The sequence below is a fragment of the Homo sapiens genome, chromosome 8, assembly GCF_000001405.40.
Source record: "Homo sapiens chromosome 8, GRCh38.p14 Primary Assembly".
Taxonomy (NCBI): domain Eukaryota; kingdom Metazoa; phylum Chordata; class Mammalia; order Primates; family Hominidae; genus Homo; species Homo sapiens.
Window position 1 is genome coordinate 77049465 of NC_000008.11, and position 18998 is coordinate 77068462.

At 32.9% G+C, this 18998-nt stretch overlaps 1 annotated feature.

Moving 5' to 3' along the window:
* Positions 17976-18176: a silencer, noted in NCBI's record as "peak7079 fragment used in MPRA reporter construct". NCBI's record gives its function as "represses an SCP1 promoter by STARR-seq MPRAs in K562 erythroleukemia cells {active_cell/tissue: K562}" and the evidence as "EXISTENCE:reporter gene assay evidence [ECO:0000049][PMID:32103011]".

Sequence of the window (18998 nt, forward strand, 5' to 3'; positions counted from 1 at the left end):
TATGACATTGACTCCAAAATCTGACAAAGAAACCACAAAAAAGAAAATGATAAGCCATCTTACTCATGAATATTAATGCAAAATAGTAAATAAAATCTAGAAAATAAAATACAGCATTACATTAAAAGAATAATATGCCAAGACCATGCAGGGTTTATTTTAGTTGCACGAATGCTTAACAATATTAAATCTTCTAGTACCACTGACTACAGGTGAAAGAAGAAAAGTCCTTTGTAAAAAAGGAAGAGAATAATAACTTTAGGTAAAATTATATGCATATCTCAGACCATTTACAAACATCATTCTTGGATAAAACAATCCAAGAAATCCTGTTGAAGTCAGAAACAAGGCAGGTATGCCTAGTTTCCCCACTATTCTTTAATATTTTCCTGGAAAAGTTATAGACAATAAAATTAGCCAAAGGAGTGTAACAATGATTATAGATATTGGGAAAGAAGGGACAATATTATCATTATTGATAAATGATATGATTATGTATTTTTAAAATCCAAGAGAATAGGTAAAAATACTGGTAGAAAGAACAAAATAATTTAATAATGTGACTGGTCACAAAATACGTAACATGACTAACAAAACTGTAAGCAAGAAAATCATATAAGGAAAGGTATACCCAGCATAATCACAACAAATAAATAAATTGAAACCCCAAATAACTCCGAATAAACCTAATTAAGAAATATACAGTTCCTAAGTAAAGACTGAGATTCAAATTATTTTGTCATATTTATAGTACTTAATATTATTATCCATAATAAGATATATACTAATAATATATGGATAATAATATATAGTATTGTTATAATACCATATGTTGTCATAAAAGATAATAATACTAAACATAATACTATATTATTCTTTTGTCATATTTATAATATTATATATTGCTATCCAAAATAAGGTATGTACCTTACAAATATGAAAAGATAATCTTGATTAACATTTCTATTAATTGCAATCCCAGTTAGAATCCAAACATAATAATTCTGAGGTTCATCTAGAATAACGAATATGTAAAAATAGGTGATACATTTTTGTATTTTCACATTTCTACCATGAATAACATGATAGAAAATAACATTAGCTGAGTAACAGATTATTCTTAAAACCTCACTGGCTTGACATAATAGAAATGTATAACTCATTAAAGTCACAGTCCAATGTGGGTTTATCCAATTGTATGTGCCTCTAGTGATCTTTTAGGAATCCATGCTTCTGACATCATGTGGCTCTATCTTCCTCTAAATCCTCTGAGACCTACCTATTAGAATTGTTTCTTAACCGGTTTGGCCTATATGCATTATACATCATCCCCAGGCCAGATCCCAGGCACAGTGTCGGTTAACTGCTCTTGGAACTAGAAAATAAAATCTAGCTGTATACACTAGAAGAAAATGAAATATATTTTCACAAACAGAACTGTCTAGCAACACTTTTATAATTAGAAACAAAAAAGCAGATTTCAAAATATATGATGTACATCACTATATCTGTCTAAAAGAAAAATTAACAATACAATTAACCAAGAAATATCAATGCGTTTTAAAACATAAATAGATTTTCTCTACTGGATTGAATAAAACTATCTTGCAAAAAGAAACAAATTGTTTTTCATGTAATGGTGTGTGGAAACATGCCTTAGCATTCATGAACAGCTGGGCTAGTTGGAGGAACTAAGTGGGTGGATTTTCAAGTAGTTCTCAGTTCTTCATACTGTTTATTAAACAAAGCTTTCCTAAAAGTTTGTGTGGGCATGGTGCTTGCATCTACATCTGGAACATAGAATGGACATGGCAGATGGAACTCAATCTGGCAAGTGTGCAGTACTGAAGACATCTTGAGAACACAAGTGTCTTTCAAAGACTATTACAATCTGTGAAAACGGATTTTATGTTGTATGAATTATGACCTTGGGAAAGTATAGGAAGACGTTTTCTAGACATATTTTCTTTCTTTTTTTTTTTTTTGAGATGAAGTTTCGCCCTGTTGCCCAGGCTGGAGTGCAATGGTGCCATCTTGGCTCACTGCAACCTCTGCCTTCCGGGTTCAAGCAATTCTCCTGCTTCAGCCTCCCAAGTTGCTGGGATTACAGGCGTGCACCACCACGCCCAGCAAATTTTTGTATTTTTAGTAGAGACAGGGTTTCACCATGTTGGTCAGGCTGGTCTCGAACTCCTGACCTCGTGGTCCGCCCACCTTGGCCTCCCAAAGTGCTGGGATTACAGGCGTGAGCCACCGCGCCTGCCTTCTAGACATATTTTCTAACTGTAAGTAGTTTATAGTATTTTTCTGAGAATCAATTACAATGATATATTCAGAATTACTGTTTAATATGACATATTGTGCAAAATGAGGTAAACCTTTATCCTTTCCATCAACAGAGATTGCGTACCTACAGCACCTAGATGCTGTTCAAGGCACTGGGGGTGTGGTATTGATGAGAATGGCCACACTTCCTGTTTCAAAGGGCTCGCATTCTACTTGAGGGTGAATGGTGGGCAGTGGATAGAAAATAAACATACAGACAAGTAGATAAGATAATTTCAAATAGTGATAAGTGCTATGAATGACATAAAACAGGGTATTGAGCTAAAAAGAGACTGGAAGGGGGCAAGGGCTGAGTGGATTAGCTAGACTGGCATGATCTCTCTGGGAAGGCAACACTGGAGCTGAGCCCACAAAGATGAGATGGGTAAATGATACAAAGGACACTCAGCACATGTTTGCTGAATGAATCCATTTACTTATTTATTTTTTGTTTTTTCTTCAAATTCATTTTACACCATGAAGTAAAAAATAAAATGTTTTCAGCAGCTCAGCTCAAATAACTTTAAATTCATATATAAAGCTTTTACTGTATAAATGATCTAAATCAAATTATATGTTTTTACATCAGGCAGAATAGTAGCTCAGTCTGTCAGCTTTTTAATTTTTTTTAACAGACATTTTAAAAGAACTAGGACTTTATTGTAAAGGTGTCACTTAAAAGTAGTTACAGATGTAAACGTTGTGGCTTCTGCCCTCTGACCACTCACACCATCTCTGATTTCTTTAGCATCTTCCCTGACTCTTGTCCTCTCCAACACTATTTGTGTCATCATTGTTGGTGACTTCATCCTCATTGCTCACCCATTCGTACTAATGATGAAACCACTGTACCTGTTTCCTTATCTATAAATTTGGACTAATAGTTGATTCCTACCCAGAAGACTGATGTAAGAATAAGTTGCCATGATTTATGTGAAAATACTGTTATCATAAAGCACTACTTATTTTTTATTATTATTCTAGGTTTGTAGAGCCTTTTCATGTAATAGTGTCATAATTTTTAGATGGGTATGTTGTTGACATTCTTCACAAGAAAAAAATTGCTCTTCTGGTTAATTAAATGCATATCTAAACATTACATAAAAACAATTTTCTAGCATTCCTTTAAAATGTAGCTTGTAAGAGGGTGTGGATGATAATTCTCAGAAGATTTGTGTCTCCTCAGCTAACTGTCATCACTTTGACTGGCTGTGTCTTCAATGAATGTTTCTGAAGACTTTGGTGATCATCATTCATTTTGTGAATGTAAGTTCTTAGGTTCAGAAAGATCACAGGACAAATAAAAAAAGAAAAAAACACACACCACCTATCCTTGTGTTATGAGTATTCCAAGAGGAGAGAGTAAACTGATCAAAGAGTGCCCTGAAATATTTTTACATAATTGGCTTATGTAACTTGATTTCAGAGATAAAGCATTCCACAGGTTGAATGATAAGAATCTTGGCTACCTTCAATAGGCCTTTTAAAGATGTTATCAGTTTAGTGTTTAATATACGGGGCAGTGCAACGTGGTCAGGTAACGTGAAGTTACTTTTGTAAAGTCTTTCCTTTTGGCAGAGTTAATGGCAACTGTATTAGGCAAAGTTAATGAATTCCTCAGTTCCACTCTCAATTATACCAGAAATTGCTGTGATTTTCCATCAAAAGCTATTTAAGGACCATTGGTGGAAGGAAGATTTTAGTACAGATAGAAAACTCTTACCCAATATGAAGCGTTGTGTCAAGACATTAATATGGATTTTTTCAAAAACTGAGGTTCTTATTTCCTAGGAAATGGGGCTGTGTTCATTTCCATTCTTTCCAAGTGGGTGTCAATTTTGGACCTGTAAGCATAAATTCAGGCCAATTCCTGGATGTGCTGTCGGTAACGTACCTAAAATGTGTCAACAGACCCCTGGAATAGTGGTTCAGTTTCCCCAGAAGAAGCATTCTTTTTAGGGAGAAAATTTATGTTGATGATTTTCAAATTATTGCAACTCCTCAGGCAATTTTCCAGCTGGCCAGACCCTATATACTGACTTGAGAACAAGTGCCAATTTTGGATTTTTGGCAGTCACTAGCATGACCTGGTCAACTTGAAGAGGCAGCTCAGGGAGAGATTTCAGCATCCACATTTTAACACAATTACCAGTTTGCTTCTGGATGAAATCCAGCACTTTATTTCTAATATATGAGGCTCAATATCTCTTTAAAATCACTTTCTCCTTATGTTCTATTTATGAGAAACTGAAGAAGTTGTAAGTTAGGAAAAATCTAAAACAAAGTGTCCTTTAATTTATGAATTCTAAAAATGAAAATGTCTCTGATTGGATTGTCTAATTTTTTTTAATGTTGGAGATTCAAATATTCTTTATTCGTGCTATTGTGTGCATGTGTATTTAGGATGTTAATATTCAATATTTAGAATATTGATGAGGATTATTCTTGCAAAATTTATAGAAAATGTGGAAAAAGTGTTAAATATCTGCTAATTAAAAAATGATCATTTATATTAAATGTTTGCATTCATTAGGTATCTGTCTTCTGTTTATAGTAGAATTAGTTTATTTACAGACTTAAAGGAGAATAATAATGATTATGTGTGTAAACCATTGAGCTGTCTATACATACTATTATAAAGGAATGATACTATGATTTCCTGTGCTTTCTCCATATTTTAACCCTACAGGGAACCATGGTGCCTAGCTTTGAAATACACCCACATGCACACATGTGCACACACACCCACCAGATTTTCACAGTGCATATCCAACTTCTAAGGGTGGCAAATGTTCATAAGTACAACGGTAACATGTAAGTGGGCTTGAAAAATTCAAAACTGCTGATGAATAGCTTACTAATGTCAAAGAAAAGGGAGACATACATATCATTTGGAAGTGTGACCACAAACAGGTTACCTAAATTATCTAAGCCTCAGTTTCCTCATCTGCAAAATGAGGATAATAATACCCAGCCAACATTTTTGTTGCATTAAGCAAGCACAGTGCCTAGTATGTAGTAAATATTTAACAAATGGTAGCTCTTGTGAAAATCAGTATGAGCTTTGGAGTTGCATTGTCTGGGTTTGATTTCTATCACTTACTAGCTGTGTGACTATTTGGTAAATTAATGAATTGGGTTTCATTTTCTATTTAGTGTTGTTAGATAGTAAATAAGGTAAAATATATAAAGTGTTTAACCCAAATGTCAATAAATGTTGCTATTATGAGTAATATAACATTACCAGTTTGAGGGCTCCCAAATGTTAGCATTGGGTAGCACCAGCTGGTTTAGTGGTTTTCAATTTGCCCCCCATGGTGCCTGATCTTGGATGAACACACACTCTCTCTCTGATTTATTTGTTTTGGGGCATGTAAAATATATTATTTTTCCACATGAATTTTCCTTTGAAGAAAGAGTTATATTGCTAAGAGAAGTTTGAAAAACATCCACTTGGTCCAAACTCATTACAAATGCTTAATTGAAGCTAAGGAAACTTAATAATGAAGCAGTCAGGACTGGAATTCAGGTCAGCAGAATTCTGACTCCAAGTTATATGATATTTCCACTATTTCATTCTCAGTGGCACTTTAGTTTTCATTTTAATTAAATGACTTCAGAAATTGAGACATCTGCAAAATTTTTTTGAATTACACACTAAAGAGAAATGTTTCTGAAAATATTTTAAAAGAATTACTAAAAAAAGAGAAAAAACACATTTTTATCACTAATTCCAAGTATACATTTTAATATGTGTGTATATTCTCCATAACAATATTCACTCACTCTCAATACATATTCATTTTCTTGCATACAGAAATGTTCAATTTTTTGTCTAAAATAAATAATTTTTCTTACTCTATGTGGTTTTTCCCCCACATACAATACTTGTATTGCATTATTTGCATTTTTCTGTTTTATGACAATTAATTCATTCAATAACTTGTCTATCAGCTTGCTCAGGGAGTGGCCGTGATCTTATTACATTTAGAATTTCTGTTATTGTAGTATTTGATATAATATTTGAGCAAAGTTTACCTCTTAATTTTAAATATATTTTCCTTAAAGTCTTGGATATCATTACTACTTAAGGTCACATTCTTCTAGATTTATAAAGAACATATCCTTAGATAAGAACAATGCAATGCTTGTTCAATGCATTGAACAATGCATTGTTCAATGCACAAGAACAATGCAAAAGAACCTTCTTGATATACATAAATATTCTGAAGTAAATAGATCAAGTAACTCAAATGGACTTACTTTGAAGAGGAGAAAAATAATATCATGACAGTTGAAAGAAATAAAATGATGGGAAGAATTTTTTGTGGCCATTCATACATAGCAAACAGAAAAATGTGAATTAATCATATCATCTGTCTACAATATCTAATGTCTTAAAATTATTATACTGTCCCTGGGCAGAGGAATGAGGAAAAAGCAATACTTTCTTTTTTCTATTCTTCAATATTTGATGCTTTATGTAATTATAAAGACAGTTAGGAAACATGTCATTTCAATTTTACATTAATGAAATTTGATAGCATATATCCATCTCATAGTTGATATATTCTGACATCTATTTATTAAGATATATACTAAATTGTCAAAAAAATGGAAGGGTAGCATGTTAACAGATGCATTTTTTTTCCGTTAAAATACCAGTTTTAGTAAGTGTCTAAATATTGAAATTGTTACTCAATTAAAACTCTACTGAAGTTATGCTCTTTTTCTATTTGAACGAATTATCGTTAATTTCTACTTCATTAATTCTGCATTTTTTATTATTTGACCAAGACTTGGATGAGGTTTATAAAAGGTTTGTGAGCAGCATAAAATAGCATCATAATAGGAACATTAAGCCAATTTAATAGAACAAATTTGAAACAATTTGGAAGAACTCTTCTATACATAATTTTGCTTAGAAAAATTATCAGAAGATCATCAAAGTATCTTCTTTTTTTACTTTATGTATTTAGCACTGTTAAATATCCTCTGTTTCTTGAATGTCCACCTCTTCTAGTTTCTATGGTACCATCTTGCTGTCTGGCAATGTTAAAAATTCACTATCACTGCTCATGGGTAATAAATATAACCAAGCCTAAAGACTATCTTATCGAATCTTTCCTTCATCAGGTTATCTCTTCAATGACTGATTTTGCATGCTAATTGATTTCTAGGTTGGTCTCAGAAGCTTTAATATAAAGTGCCCTACATCTGCTGCCTAGCAATCTCAGTCCTTTCTCTGCTCGTGCTCTGGCTTGTAATGGATTGATATGATACATTTCGTCTGGTTGTATTTCTTCTTTGGGGTGTTTTGCCGCCTCCATTGACTTTACTTCCTGTTTCCCAAGGTTGGCCTAATGCACTTCATGTTATTTGTTTTCCTCCTTTATGGTTCATAGTTCAGTTGCTTCTTTATGGCTGAATCCATATCAGCTTTGGTCCCCCTCCTGAGTTTTGGCCCACATTACAAAGCTCTTGCCAGATACTTTTGGATGTTTTACTCTTACCTCAAATTAGCAGGTTTTATCCACTTCTCCTTCTTCTCTGTCATTGCCAGTAACAACAGTATTACCTTTGTAATCTCTGTAGACATTCTCTTTCTTGCTCCACATTAAGGCTGTTACCAGATTGCTATTTTTGTATTTTTTTCTCAGATAGACATTTTTTAACAGTCCTTGGTTATTTCACCTTATTCATTCATGGTTAATTCTAATTCGCCAGCTGATTCACCAGCTGAATCCTCTTGTTTCCAATCTGTTCCATATACTTCAACTAGATTACCCCTCTTAAAACACTGATTTATGCGTATCATTGTTTGGATCAAAGCTACCAATGACTATCTCTGTCCAATTGATTGGAGTTTAAACTTCTCATTCATCATTTAAAACCTCATATATTCTGGCCTCATCCTACATGTGTTAGTCCATTCTTGCATTTTATATATAAAGAAATAGCTGAGACTGGGCAATTTATAAATAAAAGAGGCTTAATTGGCCCCTGGTTCTACAGGCTGCCAGGAAGCACTGTGCTGGCATCTGCTCAGCTTCTGGTGAAGCCTCAGGGAGTTTTCAATCATGGTGGAAGGTGAATGGAGAAGCCATGGTGGGAGCAGGAGCTAGAGAGAGAGTAAGGGGGAAGGTGCCACACATTTTTAAATGACCAAAGCTCACAAGAACTCACTCACTATTGCAAAGACAGCACCAAGCCATGAGGGATCCACCCCCACGACTCAAGCACCTTCCACCAGGCCCCACCTTCAATACTGAGGATTACAATTCAACATGAGATTTGGGCAGGACACGCAAACCATATGACCACCTTTCCCCACTTATTTTGTAAGACTTCCTTTTCTCCAAATATAATAATTTACTTGTAATGACCAAATATGCCTTATATATTATTCTCTTGACCTTTGTACACAGGATTTGTGTCACCTAGAATGCTAATCTTAATCCTCTCCATTGATCTGAATTTGAGTCATTTTTTTAGTTCAGCTGATGTTCTTTTTCATAAAATTTTTTGATAGTGAGTCTTCTTTATTGAACCCCTACACATCTCTTTTCATTCCTTTAGCAAAACTGCCAATGGAAAATTTCAATGTAACTTTAATATATATTTATGGGTATATATTGTTTCTTCTTAGAAATAATGTAAGCTCCTTGAAGAAAGTGTTTAGGCATTTTGTACTCTCATTGTATTAATTTGCACATATTATATAGAATTCATTTTTTGGCTTGATGTAATAGATAACTCTATTGTTTTTTAGTCTCATATCAATTTCACGTCTTATTTCAGATCCAGGTTTTATCTGAAAAATTTATTTAAAAAATTTTAATCACTTTTTTCTGAAGTACTCCAGAATGATTTTGGAATTGGTGTTGGTGCATCCTGTCCAGGTCATGACAGGTCAGGTTTCAAAACATCTGGCCTTCCTCAATTTTTTATTTTTAAAACCTATATTAGCCTTGTATAGTGTCATACACCTGTAGACCCAGCAAATCAAGAGGCTGAGGAAAGAGGATTGTTTGAGCCTAGGAGTTTGAAGCCAGCTTGGGCAATATTATGAGACTCCATTTTTTAAATTTTTAAAAAAGCGCCTGTATTAGAATTTTTTTAACTGAGAGCTCAGAAAAGTCAACTATATGATCTATCTACAAGAAGTGATATTGTATTTTTGTCGCATTTTTAGAAATATGGTATTTAGGGTAATTCCGTCAGCTTCAATACTTTTGTAGTCTCAGGCACATGACTTTTAGGAAGAGTGACAGAAGGAAGAACATAATAGAGTTAGAGGGGAGTACCCAGTATGCTGACAGGAGTCAAAGCCATATCTTTGAGAAATGACTAAATAATTTGAGTGTGGTAGTTAGTTCTGTAGAAATATGGTACATATTTTGAAGGGCTATGCTGTGGTTGAAATGTCAACTTGGTTTGTATGGTTTTCAAAGGCAGAACCAAAAACAGTGAAAGTCAAGGAAGCATATTTTAGCTCAGTATCAAAAATCGTATTCTATTGAAGTGTCTGAATCATGCAATGGGCTGAAACATACTGTATAGATGTTCCCAGGTTGTTGGAAGTGTTTAGAAAATGATTACTTCTTTATCTTTATTCATGTTTCTCTTGCACATAATTTGTTCTTATCTTATGGAACTTAACACTATCTGCCTTGCTTAATAATGTAACCAAACATGGAAAGTAAGTGTGTGTGTGTGTGTGTGTGTGTGTGTGTTGTCTTGGAAGTCATTCTTTCTCAGTATAAGCTGAGGCTCCTCAGGTTAAGAACCTTAGGTTATGTAATTCTTGCCAACTATCCTCAGCTATCTTGGACAAGCTAGTAATTTGGAAAAATGGTTTTGCTAATGTTAATAATAAGTGACTTCTAGTCTACTAAATAGGAATTGAAGTATTGACAGAGAGGATACCTGTAGAGAGAGTTATCCTTCAGTAGGAAAAGAGAGTAAGATGTTTTGCCTTCTTTACATGTAGCCAGTGAGAAGAGTTTCAAAGTTTATTTGCATCCCTGAAGTTTAGGGAACTTTTGTCTGTTTCTCAACCAAATAATTCTACAGCCAAGAGACCACAGGCAGAATACTTGCTTGACAGCAAAAACAAAGGGAAAGAAGGCTATCTTGCAAGCAAACTGCACCTTCACAGTTGGAGAAAGTATGTGTAAGTCTTCTTGTGAGTCGAGTAGACCCCTGGGAAAGAGACAATCAGGGCAATCCATGAAATGGATTTCATTCACAAAGGTTACCAAGAGAGATGAAGTCACTGGGAAGAGTAACATATCAGTGGAGGCCCAGAGGCTGAAGTTTAAGCTGCTTGAAGGAGCACAGTCATGATGTCTGTGTCATGGAAATTGCAACTGGAGGTACCTACGGGATAACTTCAGAGAAATCCGCTAAACACTCCGGAAGGAGTCGTCTTTGAGCATACAAAACCCAAAGTACATCAATGCTATAATGATGTACTTTGATGATGAGAGCTCCAGGCAGTCACATAAGCCTGTAGATAGGGGATCATTTCCCTTGTCCTTTTTTCGCTGGGCCTCATCTTAGAAGGGTGGGATACCGTGACTTGGGAATGAGGGCGTAGCTGGCTCAATAATAACCTCTCAGTACTGCAAACTTTCCAAGCTGAGATAGTGCTGTGCTAGATGAGGGAAGAATTATATTGTCAACAGTTCTGAATTGTGATTATTACACTGACCTGGACATTTTAATTACCAAAACAAGACTGTTTTTATGAATAAACTGATGAGAGGACTATTAATTACCTAAGAACAAAAGCTATAGGAATTGTTTGATGTGTCATCAGAGGCATATAAAGAATTACCCCACAGAATTATTTACTTACAATAAATAAGCCTGGAATCTATGGATTTATGAGGCATGCCTCTGTGAAGAACGTGATATAAACTATACAACCCTCTGGAGTATAAAATAACAATATTTCATAATTTAATTTTTCCCTGTTGCATGTTTTCAACCTCTTTTGTTATTCTAGGCCAAAGGGGAATGTATGACATAGGAAAAAAGAACCTGGGGAGATGTCTTCACTCTTCAGGGCTTGCTGTGCCTTTCAGCTGTTTATCTCCTTGAAATTATTTATAGATTATGAAAAGGTAAGATCTCCAATTTATGTACATCTGATTTCACAATAAGCTTCTATGTGTTATTTCAGAACTTACATAATAAGACTAAACTGACTTTTATTTATCTGAACATGAGTGAATAAACTATGAAACTGCCCAGAATTTCATACAATTCTAAGAAAGCAGGTTAGGAAAGCTGATTTGAAGACATATGACGGGGGAAGAATAAACTTGTTTTCTACTTGTGTCCTTATGAATCCAGAATGTTTAATAAGCCATTCATAATATTTCTTTTTGTACATGCTTCTTATTCTCTTTTAGTCTATATGCTCCTTGATTGCAACAGGCATGTCTTCATTTTTATATTCTTCTTAATTTCTATTATAGAACAAACTAAATCATGCGTTGAAGTAGAGTCATTCCAACCTTTATATAATAGGAAATTCAACTAAATATTTAAAAATTCAATGTTTCAATATTCACATTTGAGTCTATAGTTAAAAATATCAATTTAACAAATGCCATTTTCTTGAATAAGCTTTTTATAATGAAAGATTTCTAAGATCCAGAACTAAATTATTTCAAAGAATACTCTTTTTAACAGAGTATCATGTAAGTATTTCTGTAACTCCATGCAGTTAGTTATGTGCAACTGAATTTGAATTGTGCAGGTAATATGTATGGAAACATCATTATATTACAGAAATACTTGAATTCTGGTACAGTTACAATTTATTAGCCTGTGACCTACCAAGAGAGTTCATTGTTGACTAATTTTGTGGCTCTCTAAATCTCAGTGTCTTAATCTTAATCTATAAAATATGAGAAATAGTGGTTGCCTTGCTTACTGCTGTGTGCAATAAATCCATTCAGTACATATTTATCAAGTGTCTAATATGCAATAGAAGGTAATTCTGTCAATTCTGACCAACTATTCCTATTCTTCTTAGTCACTTTCCTTTGTTGAATTTTAAAATCAACTTAAGGCATAACTTATATACCAAAAATTCACTCAATTTAAGCATATAGTTTGATATGTTTTATCAAATGCATGCATAGCATATATACACTAGTGTAATAAACATCAGTCAAGATACTGAACATTTCTCTCTTCCCCAAACCTTCCCTCATAACACTTCACCATTCATTCCCAGTCCCCGTTACCATGCCAGGCAACCACTGATTTCTATTACTAAAGATGAGATTTTCCTGTCCTAGAACTTCAAATAAATGGAGTAGAAAGGTATATACTCTTTTGTATCTAGCTATTTTGTTCAGCATAGTACTTTTGTGATTCACTCATGTTGCTTCTTTTATCAGTAGTTCATTTCTTTTAATGACTGAGTTGTATTCCACTGAATGGACATTTGCACTGTTTTACTTTTTGGAGTAACATAATAGGAAATTTATAGCAATGAAGTCAATAATTGGAAGCATAGAGGACTTAACTCCTATTGGTAACCAAAATATAAAGTATACATAGACAATGGCAACATGTAACTTCCTGTACAAGTCACATTAACTTTTGATAAGAAAACAGTAGAAATGGTAGGGTTTTTTTGGGCTTTGTGTTAGATACTTTTTAAATGCTTATATAGATATTATTTGAAGTGGGTGATAGTGAAGTCAGCTTGTATACCTTTTTACGTAGTTGTTACACAAGTGCTTGCTAATTTTTGTGGACTATGCACAAAATGCTTTAATATATTTCATATTTTCAAGAACTCTTGTAAGAATAACTGCTGGAATAATAATTCTAGACTATGTATGTATTAAGGATAGTTTCTAGCACACACAAAAAAAACACTGTGTAGTAATTGGTAATAATTCCAAAAGCAATATAAAAACACATTACTTTCCCCCGTATTTACAAGCACTAATATAGGAAAATATATTAAACCAAATCCTTGGGGACTTGAGTAATACTATGTGTCGTATACTCGATGTTTGAATAAGTGTTTACAGATTTTTCTGTAGTAGACTTGGATTTTTATTCTTGCACATTTTGAAGCTTGTGAATGTGTATGTTAAGTTCGGAATTGATTCATGCTTAACAAGGAGGTTTTATTTTTGATGGCCTTCCTTTTACCTTTTAGTACACTAAATAATCCTCTGCTTCTAGAATACGTCACTTTTACAAAGCCTGCTAACCTCAGAGTTGACAAGAGTTTTTTTTTTTTTTTTTTCCTTCTTTACCAACCTCACATACCTTACATATTGGCATTTTAATGAGGTAACATACTGCTATTTTCAAATGAGGGAAGGGAATTTCCTTTTTTGGTGGGCGGTTTTCTTTTAAATATTTGATTTAGTTTTTTAACTTGATTCAGTTTTGAAAAGAAGTATGACATGACCCTTCTTATTCTATACATGAGGAATGATTACTGAAAAATTCAGTTGTTTCTAGCTTTCAGCAAAGAAGATCTTTACTTCTTGGATGAGCTTATCTGTACAATAGTTGTAGTTCAGTTTTGATTTCTTTCTGTAAATTAGATGCTAATTCAATAATTTAAATTTAATTAGATGATAAGTAAAGAATTTAAATAATTCCATTTGAAATTAATTTTACTGTAAAACTGGAACTATTTGAAAATCATTAAGTTTAAGCAAATTTATATGCTCAGGTTTCTATTGTTTAAATGTAAGTGCACTCTCATAGACTGTGAATACCATCTTTTCACAAGACAATTGGCCATATTGATCACAATTTTAAAATTTGCATGCCCTATAATACAACAATTCTAGAAAACCATCTAACAGAACACATATTTAAGTATAAAAATTACTTATGAGTGAAAATTCATTGCAACTTCATCTGGAAAATTTAAAAAATGCAAACCCCCTGCATAGAAACTATGAGGGTGGGAGTGCTATCTGTTGGTCAGCCTGTTTCAGGGCCTAAAACAGGGCCTGTCATACAGGAGGATCTCACTAAATATTTATTTAATATAGTCAATACATTCCTAAGCATTTTGACACTATTATGAATAGAATTGTTCTCTTCATTTCATTTGCGGGTTATTTTGTTCATATGGAAACATAATTGACTTCTGTACATTAATCTTGTGTGCTGATTTTGACACATTCTTCGTTGTATCAATAAAGAATTTTTCTTTTATTCTTTATTTTCTTAGATCCTCCATGCTGAAGATAAACTGTCATAATTTTTTTACTTATGAAAATAATTCAATATTTACTCATTAAAATAATACATGCCTTTTAACAAAGTTAAATGATATGGATAAGTAGAAGAAAAAGTATAAAAATCAGTGCCCATATTTAGCTCTGAGTCTAAGTGTGTGTCTGTGGATGTATGTGTATTGATGTGTGTTTACTCACAGAAAGAGAGGTTTTGTTTATACGGATACACCTTCTTACATCTTTGTGTAAATAAATAAAATAGTTCTATATCATCAATTTTAATGACTGCCTGATATTCTATGTACTACAAATTATTTAATATAATAAAATTTGTTTAATTGTCAGTCATTATTGAGTTGCTTAAAATTTGAAACTATTAAAAATAAGATGAGTTTTCCTGTGGGTAACTTTGAGATAACCTTGTATGGTGTTTCTCTGGGAGATAATTCCTGAGAATGTTATTATTGAACCCAAGAAATGCTCACACACAATCCCTAGATCCTATGGAACATTTATAATAATTTATTTTCCATCAATACTACATGAAAAATTCAATTTCCATATACTCTAACTAATGTTGATTTTTTAAACAATTTTTAAATCATTTTAAACATATTTTAATCATTTGCTGTTTCTTCTGAGTTACAAAAAGACACTATGCAATTTTCCTTAATTCAAAGGAGAAAGAAAATGAAATATCAGATAAGCAACAATTTTAATACAAGTGTTATTTTTGAACCACAGAATTTAACATTTTAAGGGATATTACTGCTGCTTTTTTCATCTCATCTCTTTTTAAATTTTTTTTTATTTTCAATTTTTATGGGTCCATAATAGGAATATATATTTAGGGGGTATATGTGATGTTTTGGTACAGGCATACAATGAGTAATAATCACATCAAAGTAATTAGAATATTTATAACCTCAGGAATTTATCCTTTCTTTTGTATTAGGAACATTAACATGAAAATACTTTCTAAAACAACCCTGACAGATAGCTGTAGTATATTTTAGTGGCTATCTCTATCAACACAGCAATCATCACCATCAGGCATACAAATAATTAGATATTTTAAACTATTAAAATTTTTTTATTGTCTTGAGTGAAAATCTACTCTTTTGAAGTATCTGTTAAGTGGATTAGACTTCTTTCTAAGGCCATGCAGCTTTCTTTCCACTGCTTCTTTCACATTAGAGGTCTTTAAATACAGGAAGGCATTTGTTATTTCTCTCTTTAGTTACCTGTTTCTCATAATTTTCTAGAATAATTTGGAGATTATGAGATTGAGTTTCTGTGTACCGCAGTTTGGCAAATCATCACAAACTCGATTTTATTCCTTTTGCTATGTGTTGCTGGTAAATTTTAGAAGTTGGGTGAGTTTTACAACACTTAATCTTGATACATTTAAATAAAATAAGGTAAATTTTTTAAGAAGCAAAATGTTAAGATTGGCAATTAAAACTAGGGCAATCTGCCTACAAATATGTTAGGAAAATGGCTGTTTCCAACATCTGTTTAGGAGTGTGAGTAAAAAGAATACAATGCATAAGTTGTCTCAGTCTAGTGGAAATATTTCAGATTTGTATGCTGCCTTACAAATCATATGTCAAAATATTAAATTTGTCATCTGTTTGTATTTTAAAATGGATATGCAGAAAATTAGATAAAAAATTAATTCTCAAAATTTTTATTCTTTTCTTGAAAACATTTCATATATAACTTTAGGGAGATGGATGAGCTCACTTGAAGTATTTATTGGTTTTACTCATCATGATTTTATTGGCTTTGGCATGTAGTTGGTTGGTCAATTAATAATATGTTTATATTCCAATGTGAAAAGGTGAATAAAGAATAAATATATGTCTCCAATTCTGTGAAAGCTTCTTAAATATTTTTATTTTTTTGGTCTTCAAAAAAGCAAGCAAGCAAGAAAAACAAGTAATGGACTGACCTCTCAATACAGAATACATAAATATTTATAAATGCTTAGATTCTTCTTTAAAGTTGTACTATTGGATTTAAACAGGATTGGATGATAGTAATTTGAACTCTAATAGCCTGTGGCTTTTTGACCTATGGTGTACTGTAATTATTGTCTTTGGCTAAGACTTCTCTACACCTTCCATCCTCGTTGAATCTGTTTCTCTGGTCTTATTAAAGTTAAAAAATTGTCAGTAAATATAGAACGAGGCAAATGTGAACGTCATCATCCAAACATGAGGCACTACCATCCTTATACCTATTGTTCATTTACCTTTAAGTGTCTGCTATGGGCAGGTGCTTCTCTTTCTTCTCATATGTGAATGATGAATATATTTTGTACTATTTCATATTTTGACAGTGCTTCTCATTACAATTTTTCTTTTCATATTATGCAGTTGATGGGAAGTCAATTTTTCTGTCTATGATAGATTTCATCATTTTCTCAGTAATGTGTCTCTTGGCAGTGAATATATTACAGTAGCACATCCCAGTGGTTTGAACAGAAAGAATTCAAGTTCTAATCTAGACCCAGATTCTGTGTTATCTATTTCTCAAATAGGAACTCTACTCATAAGAAATAAGTATTCATAAATATTTTTTATTTCATTCGTTCCCTCTACCAAACCCTAACAAAACAGTAAAAAAAGTCTTTATTGCAAGCATTTAAATGTGATTTATTTGTGATAAATTTTCAGTTTAATAACAGGTATACAATCTTAATGTTTCATTATTCATTAAACATATCAGACCAGGGTCCAGATGGCAAAAACTTGAATATTTTTTAAAGATCATGAAGTATTTTGGCACAATTTCTTATTATTGGTGCTTTCATGTCATGGCATGACAAAGGCAAGGAATGAAATAGATTTGTGGCAAAAGTGAAGAGGATGAGAGTGAGAATTTGAGAACATGGAGCTTCTGGTACACATATTTACTTATGTAGAAAACATAATCAATTTCTCGGATAGTCTGAGTATAGAGGAATCAGGTAAGACATGCTCTTTCAGGATTACATGAACTTCTCATTCATATGATGCTTAATTAGGTACAAAAGTGTCTTAGTCTATTTTTAGTAATCAACTTCTCAATCTTTTCCCAAGTCTACATAGGCTAAGAATTTTGACTGCTAAAAAGTTGTATGTCAGTTGTCTAAAAACAAATTAATCAGCTATTATTTGAGCATCTGTCATCTTCAAATAAAAATTTTTGGTCATTTTCTCAGAAAACTAATTTCTTGTTGTTTAAATTATTTTCTTAGAAAAACATTATTTTAGCTTCCTTTTCCCCATGTTCCTTTTTCCTCTCACCTACCCATGTATAAGACTTCTGTTAAAAATGTTCTTTTCCAACTGTCATTCTTCAAAGATACCAAAACAACAAAATGGCATATAGACATTTTTTAAAATAAAAAAGGAAAAGATTATCATTGACACTCATAGCAGCTTCACCTCTGACTCTGCTCACTGTTCTCTGAGATAACACAATAGTCTTCTGCCAAGGTCTCTGTCACTTCCACTTTGCCGTCCCATCCCCCCTTTTGCTAAAAATATTTCCTAAATGTACTTCCTATCCCACCTATATTACCTACATTTTAAAATCTTTTGTCAGATAAAATTGTTAGCAAGGCAAGTCAAAATGCTTTAAGTTGTTTTACTGATGGCCAATGGAAATTCCAACTGATGACTGAGAATTTGAAGTTGTACATATTACTATATTTTTGCTGTATTTCATCATCTAGTCTCTATTATTTTTGTAAAGTTATGAGGGATGCACCATTTCATTATACTTTTTTGGCTCCGGAAAACAATGTTACACTTTCAGAGTGATGTTTTTCTTGTTCTTCTCTCTCTTAATCTGTAATTTCTCCAATATACTTCCACCACCAAGATTGTGAATAAACACTCAAATAATGCCATCCTCCAAAAATATTATGCTACTCAGCTTTCTCATTTCAAGTGCTTGTTTTGATTTATCTTGTTTATTTTGTTTAGTTTTATTTTTTCAAAATATATCATTCCATTAGTAACTTTTAGTTTAAAATTTTATATTTAAGGGAAATCTGTGAGAAATACCTATTACTTTTTTTTTTTTTTTTTAGATAGAGTCTGGCTCTGTTGTCCAGGCTGGAGTGCAGTGGTGCAATCTCAGCTCACTGCAACCTCCGTCTTCCAGGTTCAACAGATTCTCCTGCCTCAGCCTCTCGAGTAGCTGGGATCACAGGCGCCCGCCACTATGCCAGGATAATTTTTGTATTTTTTGCAGAGATGTGGTTTCAGCATGTTGGCCAGGCTTGTCCTGAACTCTTGATCTCAGATGATCCACCCGCCTTGGCTTCCCAAAGTGCTGGGATTACAGGCGCAAGCCACTGCACCCAGTCACCTTTTTAAAAAATAAAAAATAAAAAAAGCCAGATAATTTAAATTTATAGTATATGCAGTTATCATC